This window comes from Homo sapiens, chromosome X (genome assembly GCF_000001405.40).
Source record: "Homo sapiens chromosome X, GRCh38.p14 Primary Assembly".
Classification (NCBI taxonomy): domain Eukaryota; kingdom Metazoa; phylum Chordata; class Mammalia; order Primates; family Hominidae; genus Homo; species Homo sapiens.
In genome coordinates, this window is record NC_000023.11 from 66,710,267 (window position 1) to 66,728,706 (window position 18,440).

Consider the following 18,440-nt stretch of genomic DNA (forward strand, 5'->3'; position numbering starts at 1 on the left):
TTACTCTGTTGATAGTTTCTCTTGCTGTGCAGAAGCTCTTTAGTTTAATTAGGCCCCACTTGTCGATTTTTGGTTTTGCAACTGCTTTTGAGGACTTACTCATAAATTGTTTCCCAAGGCCAATGTCCAGAATAATTCAACATCATTTTTAAATAGTCCATCGTTTTTTCATTGATTTGAACTGCCAACTTACAGTAAATTCCCATATAAACATGCATCTATTTCTGGACTTGCTGTTCTGTTCTCTAATAATATATATTTTTAATCCCCTTTGTATCTTTGGTCATGTCTACCATTTTATTCTTAAAGTTGTTTAGCTGTGTCCTCTATTTTTATTTTTCAAACACTCTTGTCAAAACCTTGTCTATTTTATTGGTGTGTTTATAAAAAGGCTAAGTCTGTTTTGTGCTGCCATAATACCACAAACTGGGGAGTTTATAATTAACAGAAATGTATTGGCTCACAGTTCTTGAGGCTGGGGAAGTTCAAAATTGAGAGCCAACATCTAAAAAGGGCCTTCTTGCTGTGTCTTCCCTTGGTGAAACATGGTAAATCAAGAGAATCAGAGAGAGAGAGAACCAAAATGGGGTTGGACTTGTCCTTTTAAAAGAAATCTACTCTTGCAAATAGTGACATTAATCCATTCATAAGGGCAGAGCTCTCATGGCCTAAAAACCCTTAAAGGTCCTCCTCTTAATACTATTACAATAGCAAGCAAATTCAAACATGGGTTTGGTTGGGGACAAACATTAAAACCATATAAATAGCTTTTGGTCTTATTGATCAACTCCATGGCTTATTTATGTTTTATATTTTATTAATCTCTACCAAATACAATAATTCCCTCTTCCTACTTCCTGTTCCTTCAATTTTAAAAATTCCTTGTTATGTATGGTGAAAAGTTCCACTCCAAACTCTGGGGCCACTGGAACCCCATCCCACAGACAACAGATTTCAAAAAAGACTATAACATTTTAGCAACATTAGCAAAATGTTACTGTTGTGTCATATATTCAACTCAAAGAGCCAGTTGCTATCCAGCACTATGCTTAGCCCATGAATAAGCAGGAGGTCGTACAGGAGACTCAAGAACAAAGATTATTTAGCAAAGAATCATGATTGGCATTATCCATTCCCTATAACAGCTAAGATATGAGTTAGTGAAGTCTGTATGCCCAGAAATCTCCCAATACTGTAGGTTATATGGTGGAAAATTATGTTGTTAGGAGAAAAGGAAAAATTCAAGGTGTGGTAGGTCATGAAGAATGCAATAGTAACATCGATTATTATGTAATTTTTCTGGGCCTCTTCTCCATCTGCTAAATGAGTTGATTCCTTCTATTCTCATCCGGATGTAAAACTGTAAGCTTTCTGGCCTGGGAAGAGGGATTATATGACTATTTTGATGATCCTTTATTTCTAGTATATTTCTTGGCATGCAATAGGTTTTCAATGATCATCCACAGAATAAATGAATGAATGAATAAATGAATAAAGTTTTCTAAGCCTTTGAGATACTTTTCAAGGCTGATAAATCATGGCATGTTGATGAAGGGAAATTATTGGACGTTGTATACCCTGTAAAACCTAGTACTGTGCCTGGCATATTAGAAGACCTTAATAAATTTGTTGATTAAATAAATGAATGAGTAAATTAATAATAACAGATTCAGGAATGTAACTCATTTTCCAGTTCTAGTACTTTAATGGCAACACACTTTAAAGAACTTAATATTGTCTCCCCTTCTCTCTCTCTCTTTCACACACACAGCATAATATTATCCTCTGTGGTCATTTTGGGTACAGTGCCCTGTGGAATGTAAATTGAGAATACAGCATGGGTTATTTAATTTGGACACTCATACTCCATATAAACATAATTACATTCAGAATGCAATAGAACTGAAAATGAAAATAAATACACACTGAAGTGTGGCCGTCTAAGGCCTCTTCCTCTTTAATTGTGATCCAGATTGTTTGGAAGCTAGAAATGAGTGAATCAAGGTAGACTTAGGGCAAACAAGAGGAAGTGGTTCTTGACACAGTAGGATGTAAATTCAGGTCCTTGTTCCCCCAGCAAGCTGAACAGGTGGTGAATATTAATTGTCTCAATAAGAACTAGGAAAAACTTCAGGATGACATTGTTTTCACAGGCGGTTAGGGAAGTTTTAGGTGTGGGAATTATAAAGCATTGGAGGTAGCACCTGTCTCTACTGGGGCAGTGAGGGAAATCATGAGGCTAATGAGAGGAAGGATGTGAAAAGGTGAAGACACTTCAGAAGTCTTGTCTGAGAAGGATATGGTATACAGTTTACCTCATTTCATTTTAGTATTGATATATTCAAATTTCTCAATCATTTTCTCTATGACTTTTTGTGGCTTTGTCTTGAAAAATGATTTTTTTTCTTGTTAGAGCACTTACTATGGGCTAGGGACAGTGTGTGGAACTGGGGATGGATAAAGAGGCAAAAGGCATGGCCAGTACCTTCACATACTCACAGTCTACTTGGGTGACAGACATGTCAACAAATTATTACAATATAGTGTGTTCATGTAAACATGGAAGTATGTACAAAACAGAAATAGTAGAGGAAAGTAATAAACTGTCTGAGGGGGTAAGAAAATATTTCAAAGAGTAAGTTATGGCATGAATAAGGACAAACAGGAATTTACTAGGCAAACCAGGTGAGGACAAGGCATTATAGAAAAGAGAAACAGTAGGGTCAAAGGAACAGAAACACAAAATAGCAGGTATCTTCAGGGAATTGCAAAGGTCAAGGGCAGGTATGATGCCAAGAGATGGTCAGGACGGGGATATTATCTCGTACCTATAGAACCATTCAAATATTTCAAGTAAGGGAGTTACGTTGTTAGATCCAGGTTTTGGAGAGACCATTCTGGCAGCAGTGTGGAGAATAGATCTGGAGGAGTAGGTCGACAGAATCCACTGAGAATGCCATTGTAATAGTTCAGGCAATAGTAATGAGGGCCTGAAACTAGGCTGTCACAATGGAGACTCAGAAAAAAAGGAAAAATTTAAGAGCTAACGGGAAAATAAAAACAGAATTCCACCCCCTCCTTTAAAATCTCCTCATTTTTCTCTGCCTTTCATAGACAGCTGGCAGGGCTTCTCCAACTTTCATATGCTTCTCAACCTACTCTAACAGGGCTTCTACCTCCTGGCACCATCCAACTTCAGTTTTTGCAAGGTACCCAATGATTTTCATGTCAATAAAGCCAGTTGACATGTTTTTCAGTCCTCTTTTACTTCAGCTCTTTCTTTTTTTTTTTATTATACTTTAAGTTTTAGGGTACATGTGCACATTGTGCAGGTTAGTTACATATGTATACATGTGCCATGCTGGTGCACTGCACCCACTAACTCATCATCTAGCATTAGGTATATCTCCCAGTGCTATCCCTCCGCCCTCTCCCCACCCCACAACAGTCCCCAGAGTGTGATATTCCCCTTCCTGTGTCCATGTGATCTCATTGTTCAATTCCCACCTATGAGTGAGAATATGCGGTGTTTGGTTTTTTCTTCTTGCGATAGTTTACTGAGAATGATGATTTCCAATTTCATCCATGTCCCTACAAAGGACATGAACTCATCATTTTTTATGGCTGCATAGTATTCCATGGTGTATATGTGCCACATTTTCTTAATCCAGTCTATCATTGTTGGACATTTGGGTTGGTTCCAAGTCTTTGCTATTGTGAATAATGCTGCAATAAACATATGTGTGCATGTGTCTTTATAGCAGCATGATTTGTAGTCCTTTGGGTATATACCCAGTAATGGGATGGCTGGGTCAAATGGTATTTCCAGTTCTAGATCCCTGAGGAATCGCCACACTGACTTCCACAATGGTTGAACTAGTTTACAGTCCCACCAACAGTGTAAAAGTGTTCCTATTTCTCCACATCCTCTCCAGCACCTGTTGTTTCCTGACTTTTTAATGATCACCATTCTAACTGGTGTGAGATGGTATCTCATTGTGGTTTTGATTTGAATTTCTCTGATGGCCAGTGATGATGAGCATTTTTTCATGTGTTTTTTGGCTGCATAAATGTCTTCTTTTGAGAAGTGTCTGTTCATGTCCTTCGCCCACTTTTTGATGGGGTTGTTTGTTTTTTTCTTGTAAATTTGTTTGAGTTCATTGTAGATTCTGGATATTAGCCCTTTGTCAGATGAGTAGGTTGCGAAAATTTTCTCCCATTCTGTAGGTTTCCTGTTCACTCTGATGGTAGTTTCTTTTGCTGTGCAGCTCTTTAGTTTAATTAGATCCCATTTATCAATTTTGTCTTTTGTTGCCATTGCTTTTGGTGTTTTAGACATGAAGTCCTTGCCCATGCCTACGTCCTGAATGGTAATGCCTAGGTTTTCTTCTAGGGTTTTATGGTTTTAGGTCTAACATTTAAGTCTTTAATCCATCTTGAATTGATTTTTGTATAAGGTGTAAGGAAGGGATCCAGTTTCAGCTTTCTACATATGGCTAGCCAGTTTTCCCAGCACCATTTATTAAACAGGGAATCCTTTCCCCATTGCTTGTTTTTGTCAGCTTTGTCAAAGATCAGTTGGTTGTAGATATGTGGCGTTATTTCTGAGGACTCTGTTCTGTTCCATTGATCTATATCTCTGTTTTGGTACCAGTACCATGCTGTTTTGGTTACTGTAGCCTTGTAGTATAGTTTGAAGTCAGGTAGTGTGATGCCTCCAGCTTTGTTCTTTTGGCTTAGGATTGACTTGGTGATGCGGGCTCTTTTTTGGTTCCATATGAACTTTAAAGTAGTTTTTTCCAATTCTGTGAAGAAAGTCATTGGTAGCTTGATGGGGATGGCATTGAATCTGTAAATTACCTTGGGCAGTATGGCCATTTTCACGATATTTATTCTTCCTAGCCATGAGCATGGAGTGTTCGTCCATTTGTTTGTATCCTCTTTTATTTCCTTGAGCAGTGGTTTGTAGTTCTCCTTGAAGAGGTCCTTCACATCCCTTGTAAGTTGGATTCCCAGGTATTTTATTCTCTTTGAAGCAATTGTGAATGGGAGTTCACTCATGATTTGGCTCTCTGTTTGTCTGTTGTTGGTGTATAAGAATGCTTGTGATTTTTGTACATTGATTTTGTATCCTGAGACTTTGCTGAAGTTGCTTATCAGCTTAAGGAGATTTTGGGCTGAGACAATGTGGTTTTCTAGATATACAATCATGTCATCTGCAAACAGGGACAATTTGACTTCCTCTTTTCCTAATTGAATACCCTTTATTTCCTTCTCCTGCCTAATTGCCCTGGCCAGAACTTCCAACACTATGTTGAATAGGAGTCGTGAGAGAGGGCATCCCTGTCTTGTGCCAGTTTTCAGAGGGAATGCTTCCAGTTTTTGCCCATTCAGTATGATATTGGCTGTGGGTTTGTCATAGATAGCTCTTATTATTTTGAAAAAACCACATGATTATCTCAATATATGCAGAAAAATCCTTTGACAAAATTCAACAACCCTTCATGCTAAAAACTCTCAATAAATTAGGTATTGATGGGACGTACTTCAGCTCTTTCTAGAGTACTCTCTTTACTTGGCTTTTGGGACACTGGGTATGCCTAAATTTCCTCCCATATTTCTGTCTGCTCTTTCTCAGTCTCCATTGCCAGTTCATATCCTCCTACTTCTACTGCATGTTTTAATGTTAGAAATCCTCAAGGCTCAGGCCTTGGCTCCCTTCTCTTCTGAAACTATATTATCTCCCTTGGTAATCTCATCTATGTTCCTGGTTGCAACAAGCAAGCTTAACTAAAATTAATATACCATCTATTTCAAAAAGCACCATTATTCTATGTACCTCTAAGAAAGCAAAAAATACATTCCTCCAATTGAACTATAGTATTTCATACTCCACTAATCATCTCACTGTACCCCAAACTTGCTCTTCCTTATAGTATTTCAAACTTAAAGATGGTCACCACCATTCATTTAGTTGCTCAAACTAGAAATCAGAAACCTCTCATGTCCTCTATGCTCTACCTCACCACTTCCTACCTTTCATTTATAATCAATCTCTATGTCCTATTGCTTGTACTTCCTAAATAATCCCTGTATATATCCATTTCTCTGATCTTCATTGCTATGAACCAAATTAAAGCTACAACTTTCCTTTCTTGATTTATCTCAAAAGCCTCCTTACTTGAGGTTTCCCCAATTCTCTGATATGCAGCAAATTGAGTGATCTTTCCAAAGCTCAAATTTGATCAAGTCACGCCCCTCATGAAAAACCTTCAGTAGCTTCACACTAGTCTTAGAAAGGAGTTCAAATTATTCCTGTGGCCTACATAGTCCCTGCCTTTCCTCATGTCACCTTGTCCTATGCTCCATAAGTGTTGACCACACACAGGCCTTTTTTGAACCTCAAATATGTTACCTTTCTCGCTACCTCAGGTCCTTCTGTACATGCTCTCTCCTCCGCCAGGACTCTCTTCTAATTATTTAATTAATTCCTATTTACTCCACAACATTCAACTCAAACATCACCTTTTCAGAGAAATCTTCCATGATTCCAGACTAAGTAATGTTCTATGCTACATGTTCTTATAGTGCAATAGTCTTCTAATTTCTAGAATTTAAAATTGTTAATATCTAATTAACATTAGAGAATTACAAATTAAAGCAACAATGAAATTCTACTGCACATCTATTAGAATGGCACAATACTGACAATGCCAAATGCTATTGAGAATGTAGAGCAACAGAAGCCTTCATTCATTCCTGGTGGGAATGCAAAATGACACAGCCACTGTGGAAGACAGTTTGGCAGTTTCTTACAAAACTAAACATAGTCTTATTGTATGATCCAGCAATCATACTACTAGATATTTACTGAAATGAATTAAAGATTTATGTCTACACAAAATCTGCATATGAATATTTGTTATAAATTTATTCATAATCGACAAAAGTTGGAAGCAACCAAGATATCCTTTCAATAAGTGAATGGGTAAACAAACTGATAAATCCATACAAGATAATATTATTCAACAATGAAAAGAAATGAACTATTAAGCCTCAAGAAGGCAAGGAGAAATCTTAAATGCATATCGGTAAGTGAAAGAACCTGGTCTGAAAATGCTACATGCTATATGATTCCAACTATGTGACATTCTCGATAAGACAAAACTATACTGACTGAAAATCAGTGGTCGTCATGGATAGTAGGAGGATTAAATAGGTGAAACACGGGATTTTTAGAGCAGTGAAACTGTGCTATACTATTATTGTAATAGTAGATACATGGCTTTATGTACTTGGCAAGCCTGGTAGAACTGCACAATACAAAGAATGAGCCATAATGTTAACTATGGGCTTAAGTTTAAATGATGTATCAATGTTGATTCATCAATTGTAACAAATATACCTCAATCAGGCAAGATGTTAATAATAGGGAAACCTGAGAGTGTGGGGCAAGACAATGAGTATATGGAAACTCTGTTCTTTTTGCTCAGTGTTTTGACAAACCTACAGCTCCTCTAAAAACATAAATCTAGTAGTTAAAAAATCATTTACAACTAAAAATGTAATTAATTTAGTGTATAAATCAAAGCTTAATACTGGGCTTGCTACTAGGATGAAAGCTTCATGAAAGTAGTTACTGTGGTAGGGACTGCACCTAGCATAATGCTGGGAACAAAATAGCATATCAGGTAGAATTTGTCAAATCAATAGATAAATTGAGGATTGATGGGATGTAAGAGTTAAGGGATAAGCAGGAATCAAGAATTACAGTCACGTTTTTGGCTTTGGTGACTAATTTGGTGACTAAGTTTATATCTGAGGAAAGGGGGAAATGATGAATTCAGTTTCAGAAGAAGTTTTGATGTGCCTGTGAAACATATGATAGGTATTTTGATATATAGGTCTGGTGTTGGAGAAGCAGCCTGGGCTGTGGACATAAATTTAGTAACCGTCAGCTTCAGGTCTTGGTTTAAGCTAAATAAGGGGATTAAATTAGTCAGGAAATAAGTGTAATATAAGAAGGAGAAGAGGGGTGGCTGGCAAGATGGCCGAATAGGAAGAGCTCCAATCTGCAGTTCCCAGAAAGATCAGCGCAGAAGGCGAGTGATTTCCGCATTTCCACCTGAAGTACCCAGCTCATAACATTGGAACTGGTTAGAAGGTGGGTGCAGCCCACAGAGGGTGAGTAGAAACAGGGTAAGGTGATGCCTCACCTGGGAAGTGCAAGAGGTCGGGGAACTCCCTCCCCTAGCCAAGGGAATTCGTGAAGGCCTGTGCCATGAGGAACGGTGCATTCTGGCCCAAATACTATGCGTTTCCCATGCTCTTCACAATCCACAGACCACAAGATTCCCTCAGGTGCCTACACCACCAGGGACCTGGGTTTCAACCACAAAACTGAGCAGCCATTTGGGCAGACCCTGAGCTAGTGGCAGGAGTTTTTTTCATACCCCAGTGGCGCCTGGAACAACAGCAAGACAGAACTGTTCACTCCCCTAGTAAAGGGTCTGAAGCCAGGGAGCCAAGTGGTCTAGCTCAGTGGAACCCACCCCCACGAAGCCCAGACAGCTAAGATACACTGGCTTGAAATTCTTGCTGCCAGCACAGCAGTCTGAAGTCTAAAGTTGACCTGAGATGCTTGAGCTTGGTGGGGGGAGGGGGCGTCCACCATTACTGAGGGTTGAGTAGGTGATTTCCCCCTCACAGTGTAAAAAAGCTTCCAGGAAATTCAAACTGGGCGGAGCCCACCACAGCTCAGCAAAGCCTCTGTAGCCAGACTGCCACTCTATATTCCTCTTCTCTGGGCAGGGCATCTCTGAAAGGTAGGCAGCAGCCCCTGTCAGGGGCTTATAGATGAAACTCCCATCTCCCTGGGACAGAGCACCTGTGAAAAGGGGTGGCTGTGAGTGCACCTTCAGCAAACTTAAACGTTTCTGCCTGCCAGCTCTGGAGAGAGCAGTGGATCTCAAAGCACAGTGCTCAAGCTCTGCTAAGGGACAGACTGCCTCCTCAAGTGGGTCCCTGACCCCTGTGACACCTGACTGGGAGACACCTCCCAGCAGGAGTCGACAGACACTTCATACAGGAGAGCTCCAGACGGCATTTGGTGGGTGCCCTTCTGGGACAAAGCCTCCAGAGGAAGGGATAGGCAGCAATCTTTGCTGTTCTGCAGCCTCCACTGGTGATACCCAGGCAAACAGGTTCTGGAGTGGACGTCCAGCAAACTCCAGCAGACCTGCAGCAGAGGGGCCTGACTGTTTAGAACGAAAACGAACAAATGGAAAAGATAGCATCAACATCAATGAAAAGGATGTCCACACAGAAACCCCATCCGAAGGTCATCAGCATCAAAGACCAAAGGTAGATAAATCCACGAAGATAAGGAAAAACCAGCACAAAAAGGCTGAAAATTTCAAAAATCAGAACACCTCTTCTCCTCCAAAGGATAGCAACTACTCAATAGCAAGGGAACAAAACTGGACAGAGAATAAGTTTGATGAATTGACAGAAGTAGGCTTCAGAGGTGGGTAATAACAAACTCCTCCGAGCTAAAGAATCATGTTCTAACCCAATGCAAGGAAGCTAAGAACCTTGAAAAAAGGTTAGAAGAATTGCTAACTACAGTAACCAGTTTAGAGAAAAACATAAATGACCTGATGGAGCTGAAAAACACAGCGTGAGAACTTCGTGAAGCATACAAAAGTATCATTAGCCAAACTGATTAAGCAGAAGAAAAGATATCAGAGATTGAAGATCAACTTAATGAAATAAAGCGTGACGACGAGATAAAAAAGAAAAAACAAAAACAACAACAAAAAAATGAACAAAGCCTACAAGAAATATGGGACTATGGGAAAAGACCAAACCTACGTTTGATTGGTACACTGGAAAGTGACAGGGATAATGGAATGAAGTTGGAAAACACTCTTCAGTATATTGCCCAGGAGAACATCCCCAACTTAGGAAGACAGGCCAAAATTTAAATTCAGGAAATACAGAGAACACCACAAAGATACTCCTAGAGAAGAGCAACCACAAGACACATAATCATTAGATTCGCCAAGGTCAAAATGAAGGAAAAAATGGTAAGGGCAGCCAGAGAGAAAGGTCGGGTTACCCACAAAGGGAAGCCCATCAGACTAACAACTGATCTCTCTGCAGAAACCCTACAACCCAGAAGAGAGTGGGGGCCAATATTCAACATTCTTAAAGAAAAGAATTTTCAACCCAGAATTTCATATCCTTCCAAACTAAGCTTTGTAAGTGAAAGAGAAATAAAATCCTTTACAGACAAGCAAATTCTAAGAGATTTTGTCACCACCAGGCCTGCCTTATAAGAGCTCCTGAAGGAAGCACTAAATATGGAAAGGAAAAATAGGTACCAGCCACTGCAAATACATATCAAATTGTAAAGACTATTGACACTGTGAAGAAACTGCATCAACTAACCGTCTTAATGACAGAATCAAATTCACAAATAACAATATTAACCTTAAATGTAAATGGGTTAAATGCCCCAATTAAAATACACAAATGGACAACTTGAATAAATATTCAAGACCCATCAGTGTGCTGTATTCAGGAGACCCATCTCATGTGCAAAGACACATATAGGCTCAAAATGAAGAGATGGAGGAATATTTACCAAGCAAATGGAAAGCAAAACAAAGCAAGGGTTGCAATCCTAGTCTCTGATAAAACAGACTTTAAACCAACCAAGATCAAAAACGACAAAGCAGGACATTACATAATGGTAATGGGACCAATGTCACAAGAAGAGCTAACTATCCTAAATATATATGCACCCAATACAGGAGCACCCAGATTCATAAAGCAAGTTCTTGGAAACCTACAAAGAGCCTTAGACTCCCACACAAAAATCATGAGAGACTTTAACACTGCACTGTCAATATTAGACAGATAAATGAGACAGAAAATTAACAAGGATATTCAGGACTTGAACTCAGCTCTGGACCAAGCGGACCTATAGACATCTACAGAACTCTCCACCCCGAATCAACCGAACATACATTCTTCTCAGAACCACATCCCACTTATTCTAAAATTGGTCACATTATTCAAAATAAAACACACCTCAGCAAATGCAAAAGAATGGAAATCATGACGAACAGTCTCTCAGATGACAGTGCAATCAAATTAGAACTCAAGATTAAGAAACTCACTCAAAACTTCACAACTACATGAAACTGAACAACCTTCTCCTGAATGACTACTGGGTAAATAAAGTAATTAAGGCAGAAATCAGTAAGTTATTCGAAAGCAATGAGAACAAAGACACAACATACCAGAAATTCTGGGACACAGCTAAAGCAATGTTTAGAGGGAAATTTATAGCACTACAGGCCCATAGGAGAAAGCAGGAAAGATCTAAAATTGACACCTTAAAATCACAATTTTAAAAAACTAGAGAAGCAAGAACAAACAAATTCAAAAGCTAGCAGAAGACAAGAAATAACTAAGATCAGAGCAGAACTGAAGGAGATAGAAACACGAAAAACCCATCAAAAAATCAATGACTCTAGGAGCTGGTTTTATGAAAAGTTTAATAAAATAGCCAGACTAATAAAGAAGAAAACAGAAAGGAATCAAATAGACACAATAATAAGTGATAAAGGGGATATCACCACTGATTCCACAGAAACACAAAACTACCATTAGAGAATACTATAAATACCTCTATTCAAATATACTAGAAAATCTAGAAGAAATGGATCAATTCCTGGACACACACACCCTTTCAAGACTAAACCAGGAAGAAGTCCAATCCCTGAATAGAACAATAGCAAGTACTAAAATTGAGGCAGTAATTAATAGCCTACCAACCAAAAAAAGCCCAGGACCAGATGGATTCACAGCCAAAGTCTACCGGAAGTAGAAACAGGAGCTGGTACCATTCCTTCCAAAACTATTCCAAACAATAGAAAAAGAGGGACTCCTCCCTAACTCATTTCATGAGGCCAGCATCATCCTAATACCAAAGCCCAGCAGAGACACAACAAAAAAACAAAATTTCGGGCCAATATCCCTGATGAACATCAATGTGAAAATCCTCAATGAAATACAGGCAAACCGAATCCAGCAGCACATCAAAAAGCTTATCCACCACGATCAAGTCGGCTTCATCCCTGGGATGCAAGGCTAATTCAACATATGCAATTCAATAAATGTAATCCATCACATAAACAGAACCAATGACAAAAACCATATGATTATTTCAATAGATGTAGAAAAGGCCTTTGTGAAAATTCAACACTCCTTCATGCTAAAAATTCTCAACAAACTAGGTATTGATGGAATGTATTTCAAAATAATAAGAGCTATTTATGACAAACCCACAGCCAATATCATACTGAATGGGCAAAAGCTGGAAGCATTCTCTTTGAAAATCGGCACAAGACAAGAATGCCCTCTCTCACCACTCCTATTCAACATAGTATTGGAAATTCTGGCCAGGGAAATCAGGCAAGAGAATGAAATAAAGGGCATTCAAATAGAAAAAGAGGAAGTTGAATTCTCCCTGTTTGCAGATGACATGACTATTTAGAAAACCCAATCGTCTCAGCCCCAAATCTCCTTAAGCTGATAAGCAAATTCAGCAAAGTCTCAGGATACAAAATCAATGTGCAAAAATCACAAGCATTCCTATACACCAATAATAGATAAACAGAGAGCCAAATCAGGAATGAACTTCCATTCACAATTGCTACAAAGATAATAAGATGTCTAGGAATACAACTTACAAGGGATGTGATAGACCTCTTCTAGGAGAACTACAAACCACAGCTCAAGGAAATAAGAGAGGACACAAATAAATGCTAAAAAATTCCAAGCTCATGGGTAGGAAGAATTAATATCATGAATATGGCCATACTTCCTAAAGTAATTTATAGATTCAACGCTATCCTCATCAAGATAACATTGAATTTCTTCATAGAATTAGATAAAACTACTTTAAATTTCATATGGAACCAAGAAACAGACCGTATAGCCAAGACAATCCTTAGCAAAAGAACAAAGCTGGAGGCATCATGCTACCTGACTTCAAACTATGCTACAAGGCTACAGTAACCAAAACAGCATGGTACTGGTACCAAAACAGATATATAGGCCAATAGAACAGAACAGAGGCCTCAGAAATAACACCACACATCTACAACCATCTGATCTTTGACAAAGCTGACAAGAACAAGCAATGGGGAATGGATTCCCTATTTAATAAATAGTGTTGGGAAAACTGTCTAGTCATATACAGAAAACTGAAACTGGACCCCTTCCTTACACCTTATACAAAAATTAACTCAAGATTGATTAAAGACTTACATGTGAGACCTGAAATTATAAAAAACCCTAGAAGAAAACCTAGGCAATACCATTCAGGACATAGGCATGGGCAAAGTCTTCATGACTAAAATACCCAAAGCAATGGCAACAAAAGACAAAATTGACAAATCAGACCTAATTCAACTAAAGAGCTTCTGCACAGCAAAAGAAGCTGTCATCAGAGTGAACAGGCAACCTACAGAACAGGAGAAAATTTTGGCAATCTCTCCATCTGACAATGGGCTAATAGCCAGAATCTTCAAAGAAAAAAAATTTACAGGAAACAAACAAACAGCCCCATAAAAAGTGGGTGAAGGATATGAAAGACACTTCTCAAAAGAAGACATTTATGCAGCCAATAAACATATGAAAAAAAGCTCATCATCACTGGTCATTAGAGAAATGCAAATCAAAACTACAATGAGAAGATACCATCTCACACCAGTTAGAATGGTGATCATTAAAAAGTCAGGAAACAACAGATGCTGGAGAAGATGTGGAGAAACAGGAACACTTTCACGCTTTTGGTAGGAGTGTAAATTACTTCAACCAATGTGAAAGACTGTGTGGCGATTCCTCAAGGATCTAGAACCAGAAATAACATTTGACCCAGCAATCCCATTACTGGTATATACCCAAAGGATTATAAATCATTCTACTATAAAGACACATGCACATGTATGTTTATTGCAGCACTATTCACAATAGCAAAGACTTGGAACCAACCCAAATGCCCATCAATGATAGGCTGGATAAAGAAAATGTGGTACGTGGAATACCATGCAGCCATACAAAGGAATGAGTTCATGTCCTTTGCAGGGACATGGATGAAACTGGAAACCATCATTCTCAGCAAACTAACACAGGAAGGGAAAACCAAACACCACATGTTCTCCCTCATAAGTGGGAGTTGAACAGTGAGAATACATGGAAACAGGGAGGGGAAACATCACATACTGGAGCCTGTCAGTTGTGGGGGGCAAGGGGAGGGAGAGCATTAGGACAAATACCTAATGCATGAGGGGCTTAAAACCTAGATGATGGGTTGATGGGTGCAGCAAACCACCATGGCACATGTATACCTGTGTAACAAACCTGCACATTCTGCACATGTATCCCAGAACTTAAAGCAAAATAAAAAAGGAAAACATGCTCAACATCACTAATCATTAGAGAAAAGCAAATGAGAACAACAATGAGGTACCATCTTATGCCAGTCAGAATGGCTATTAAAAAGTCAAAAAAACGACAGATATTGGCAAGGATGCAGAGAAAAAGGAATGCTTATACACTGGTGGAAATGTAAATTCGCAAAACCTGAACAAAAAACATTATGGAAATTTCTCAAAGTACTAAATATACAACTACCTATTACTCAGCAATCCCATTACTTGGTATCTTCCAAAAAGAAAATACATCATTGCATTAAAAAGATACCTGCACTTGCATGTCTATTGCAGCACTATTAAATAGTAAAGACATGGAATCAACCTAAGTGTCCATCAACAGAAGATTGAATAAAGAATGTATGGTATTTATATGCCATGGAATACTACTCAGCCATGAAAAAGAATAAAATCATGTCTTTTGCAACAACATGGATGAGACTGGAGGCCATTATCTTAAATAAAATAACTCTGAAAGAGAAAGTCAAATACCACATGTTCTCACTTATAAGTGGGAGCTAAATATTGTGTACACATGGGCACAGAGAGTGGAATAATAGACAGTGGAGACTCCAAAAAGTGGGAGGGTGGGAGACGGGTGAGGGATGAGAAATTATCTGTTGGGTACAATGTAAGCCATGCAGCCTTTCAAGTGATGGACACACTAAAAGCCCATACTCTACCATTTCTCAATATACCCATGTAACAAAATGCACTTGTGCCCCCTAAATCTACAAAAAAGCTTTTAAAAAGAAAACGGTAAAAAATAATTTAAAAAAAAACAATGTACATACATTAAAAAGAAACAACTTTGTGGGATTTCTATATTGGGGATGGCAAAGACAATAAAGAAAGGGGCTATGATGTTTCACAAAAAGAAATAGAGAATCAGAAATAAGCAGTGTCATGGCAGCCAAGAAAGGGATCTAGTAAAGTACCGTAGTAATTTAAACTAGGGACAGTGTACCTGGGTGGAGTCTTAGCTCTGCTATTTTTACTGGTTATTTGACATTAAACAAGTTACTTAATCTTAAATCTGCCTGTCTTATATGTAAAGAGAGGACACTAAGAGTACCTACCCCAAAGGCTATTGTGAAGATTAAATGCATTAATACATACAAAGCACTTAGTACAATATTTTGCACACAAGAAGCACCTAATAATTATTTACTAGTATTGTTCCCGGAATGAGGGGAAGGATTCTTTGAAAAAGTTTGGCAGTTACTGCAAAGCGAAGGAGACAGAAAAGGTAGGTACATTTTCTGTGTAAATTTATTGAAATCCATCCCCTTGTCCTCCCCATTGCCCCAGCTAGGCTCACTCAGGTCCTTATTATCTCTCTCCTGGGCTTGTTGGACATGGAGTGAAGCAAGTAAGACATGGGTTGAGGAATAGGAAGTAATTGTGTTTACCTGGAGAATTAGGCTAATTAGGGGTCAGGTTGAAGAGGAGTCTTGATTGCCTGGTGGGTCAGTTAAGACTTGATCCCATAAGCAATAGAGAGTTCTGTAGAATTTTGGAACAAAAAATAGTATTACAGAATTGTGTTTTAAGGAAAATTATCTTAGTGAAAGAAAGACTAGGCATGGGAAACTAATTAAGGGGCTTCCCAATAATCCAGGTAGAGATGAATAGTGCCTGACTAAATACTGAAGAAGGAAGAAAATGAAGCAAGAGATGTTGGGGAAATTGATGAGGTTTTGCAAAATCGTTTTTTTTTGTTTTTTTTTTTCTTTTTTTGAGACGAAGTTTCACTCTTGTTGCCCAGGCTGGAGCGAAATGGTACAATCTCGGCTCACTGCAACATCTGCCTCCTGGGTTCAAGTGATTCTCCTGCCTCAGCCTCCCAAGTACAGGCACCCGCCACCACGCCCGGCTGATTTTTTGTATATTTAGTAAAGACAGGGTTTCACCATGTTGACCAGGCTGGTCTTAAACTTTTTTTTTTTTTTTTTTTGAGATGGAGTCTCGCTCTGTCGCCCAGGCTGGAGTGCAGTGGCGCAATCTCGGCTCACTGCAAGCTCCACCTCCTGGGTTCACACCATTCTCCTGCCTCAGCCTCCTGAGTAGCTGGGACTACAGGCGCCTGCCACAGCGCCCGGCTAATTTTTTGTATTTTTAGTAGAGACCGGGTTTCTCCATTCACAGGATGGTCTCGATCTCCTGACCTTGTGATCCGCCCGCCTTGGCCTCCAAAAGTGCTGGGATTACAGGCACGAGGCAAATTCATTTATTATTCAATATCATTGGACACGTATTATATGCCAGGCATATTGAAAGGCACTGGGAAAGCAACACTCATTTAAGAAATATTTGTTGTGTATTTATTTGGGTATGAATAAATAAAGTTGGGGTGGACTCTATTGTAAGTACAGTATTAAGAACAGAGAATACTTTTAGAATCCTAGCAGACCAAAACAGAAAAGGCTCATGGAGATCCTCCCATATTAACCAATCTCCTTCCAATTTCATAAACTGAGACCACAGAGAGGTCAAGTGACTTGTCACAGAACTAATACAAAGGCAAAGCTTTAAATGTGAAACAGGTCTGATCTGATTTCCAGTCCAGTGCTCGGATTACTACTTCCAGATCTGAAGCTGGAAGGTGTTAATCAGGAAGACTACAGAGATGGAGATGGCAAGTATGAACAGCAAGAAACTGAGGGATCGGAAGAGGACGTCTTAAACTGGGGTTGTGTTTTTCTACATTCAGAACCCCAGAGTTTTGCAAACATTACAGCTAAAAAAAAAAAAAAAAAAGAAAAGAAAAAGGCAACATGAAAAAGACAACATTAGAAGGTCAAGGAATGGTGAATTGTAAGATGTGCATGCTAAAGCAGTGTATCCAGTCTTCGAAGGAAGTAGGTCAGGTTAGAAAGTTGTGATTTCTCCAGTGATTCTTTGCTTAACGACAGAGATACATTCTGAGAAGTGCACTGTTAGGTAATTTTGTCACTGTACTAACATCACAGCATGTACTATGATACAAACTTAGATGTCATAACCTAGGCTACATGGTATAGCCTATTGCTCCCAGGCTACAAACCTGTAAAGCATGTCATTGTACTGAATACTCTAGGCAATTGTAACACAATGGTAAGTATTTGTGTATCTAAACGTAGAAAAGGTACAGTAAAAATATGGTATGAATGATAAAAAAAGATACACTTCTATAGGGCATTTACTAATGAGTGGTGCTTACAGGACTAGACACAATTCTAGGTGAGTCAGTGAGTGGTGGGTGAAATGTGAGAGCCTGGGACATTACACTACTGTTGACTTCATAAACACTATAAACTTGAGCTAGGCTAAATTTTTTTTAAAAAGTTATTTCTTCAATAATAAATTTACCTTAGCTTACTGTAACTTTTTTTACTTTTTTAAAAACTTTTTGATTCATTTGTAATGAACACTTAGCTTAAAAGGGAAGCATATTGTATAGCTGTACACAATTTTTTCTTTATATCCTTATTTTTATAAGCTTTTTTTCTATTTCTTAAATTATCTTTTTCTTTCTTTCATTTTTCTTTCCTTTTTTTTTTTTTCACTTTTTAACTTTTTTGTTAAAAACCGAGACAGAAATATGCACATTAGCCTAGCCCTACACTGGATCAGGATCATCAAGATATCATTAGGCAGCCAGACGCGGTGGCTCATGCCTGTAATCCCAGCACTTTGGGAGGCCGAGGCAGGCGAATCACCTGAGGTCAAGAGTTCGAGACCAGCCTGGCCAACATGGTGAAAAACCATCTCTACTAAAGATACACACAAAAAAATTAGCCAGACGTGGTAGCGGGCGCCTGTAATCCCAGCTACACAGGAGGCTAAGGCAGGAGAATTGCTTGAACCTGGGAGGCAGAGGTTGCAGTGAGCCGAGATCGTGCCATTGCACTCCAATCTGGGGGACAAGAACAAAACTCTTTCTTAAAA

The 18,440-nt window shown here is 38.8% G+C and overlaps 1 annotated feature.

The window, feature by feature from the left end:
* Positions 7,473–8,672: an enhancer, noted in NCBI's record as "P300/CBP strongly-dependent group 1 enhancer chrX:65937581-65938780 (GRCh37/hg19 assembly coordinates)". NCBI's record gives its function as "activates an origin of replication core promoter dependent on BRD2, BRD4, P300/CBP, MED14 and CDK7 cofactors, with strong dependence on P300/CBP, by STARR-seq in HCT116 cells {active_cell/tissue: HCT116}" and the evidence as "EXISTENCE:reporter gene assay evidence [ECO:0000049][PMID:35650434]".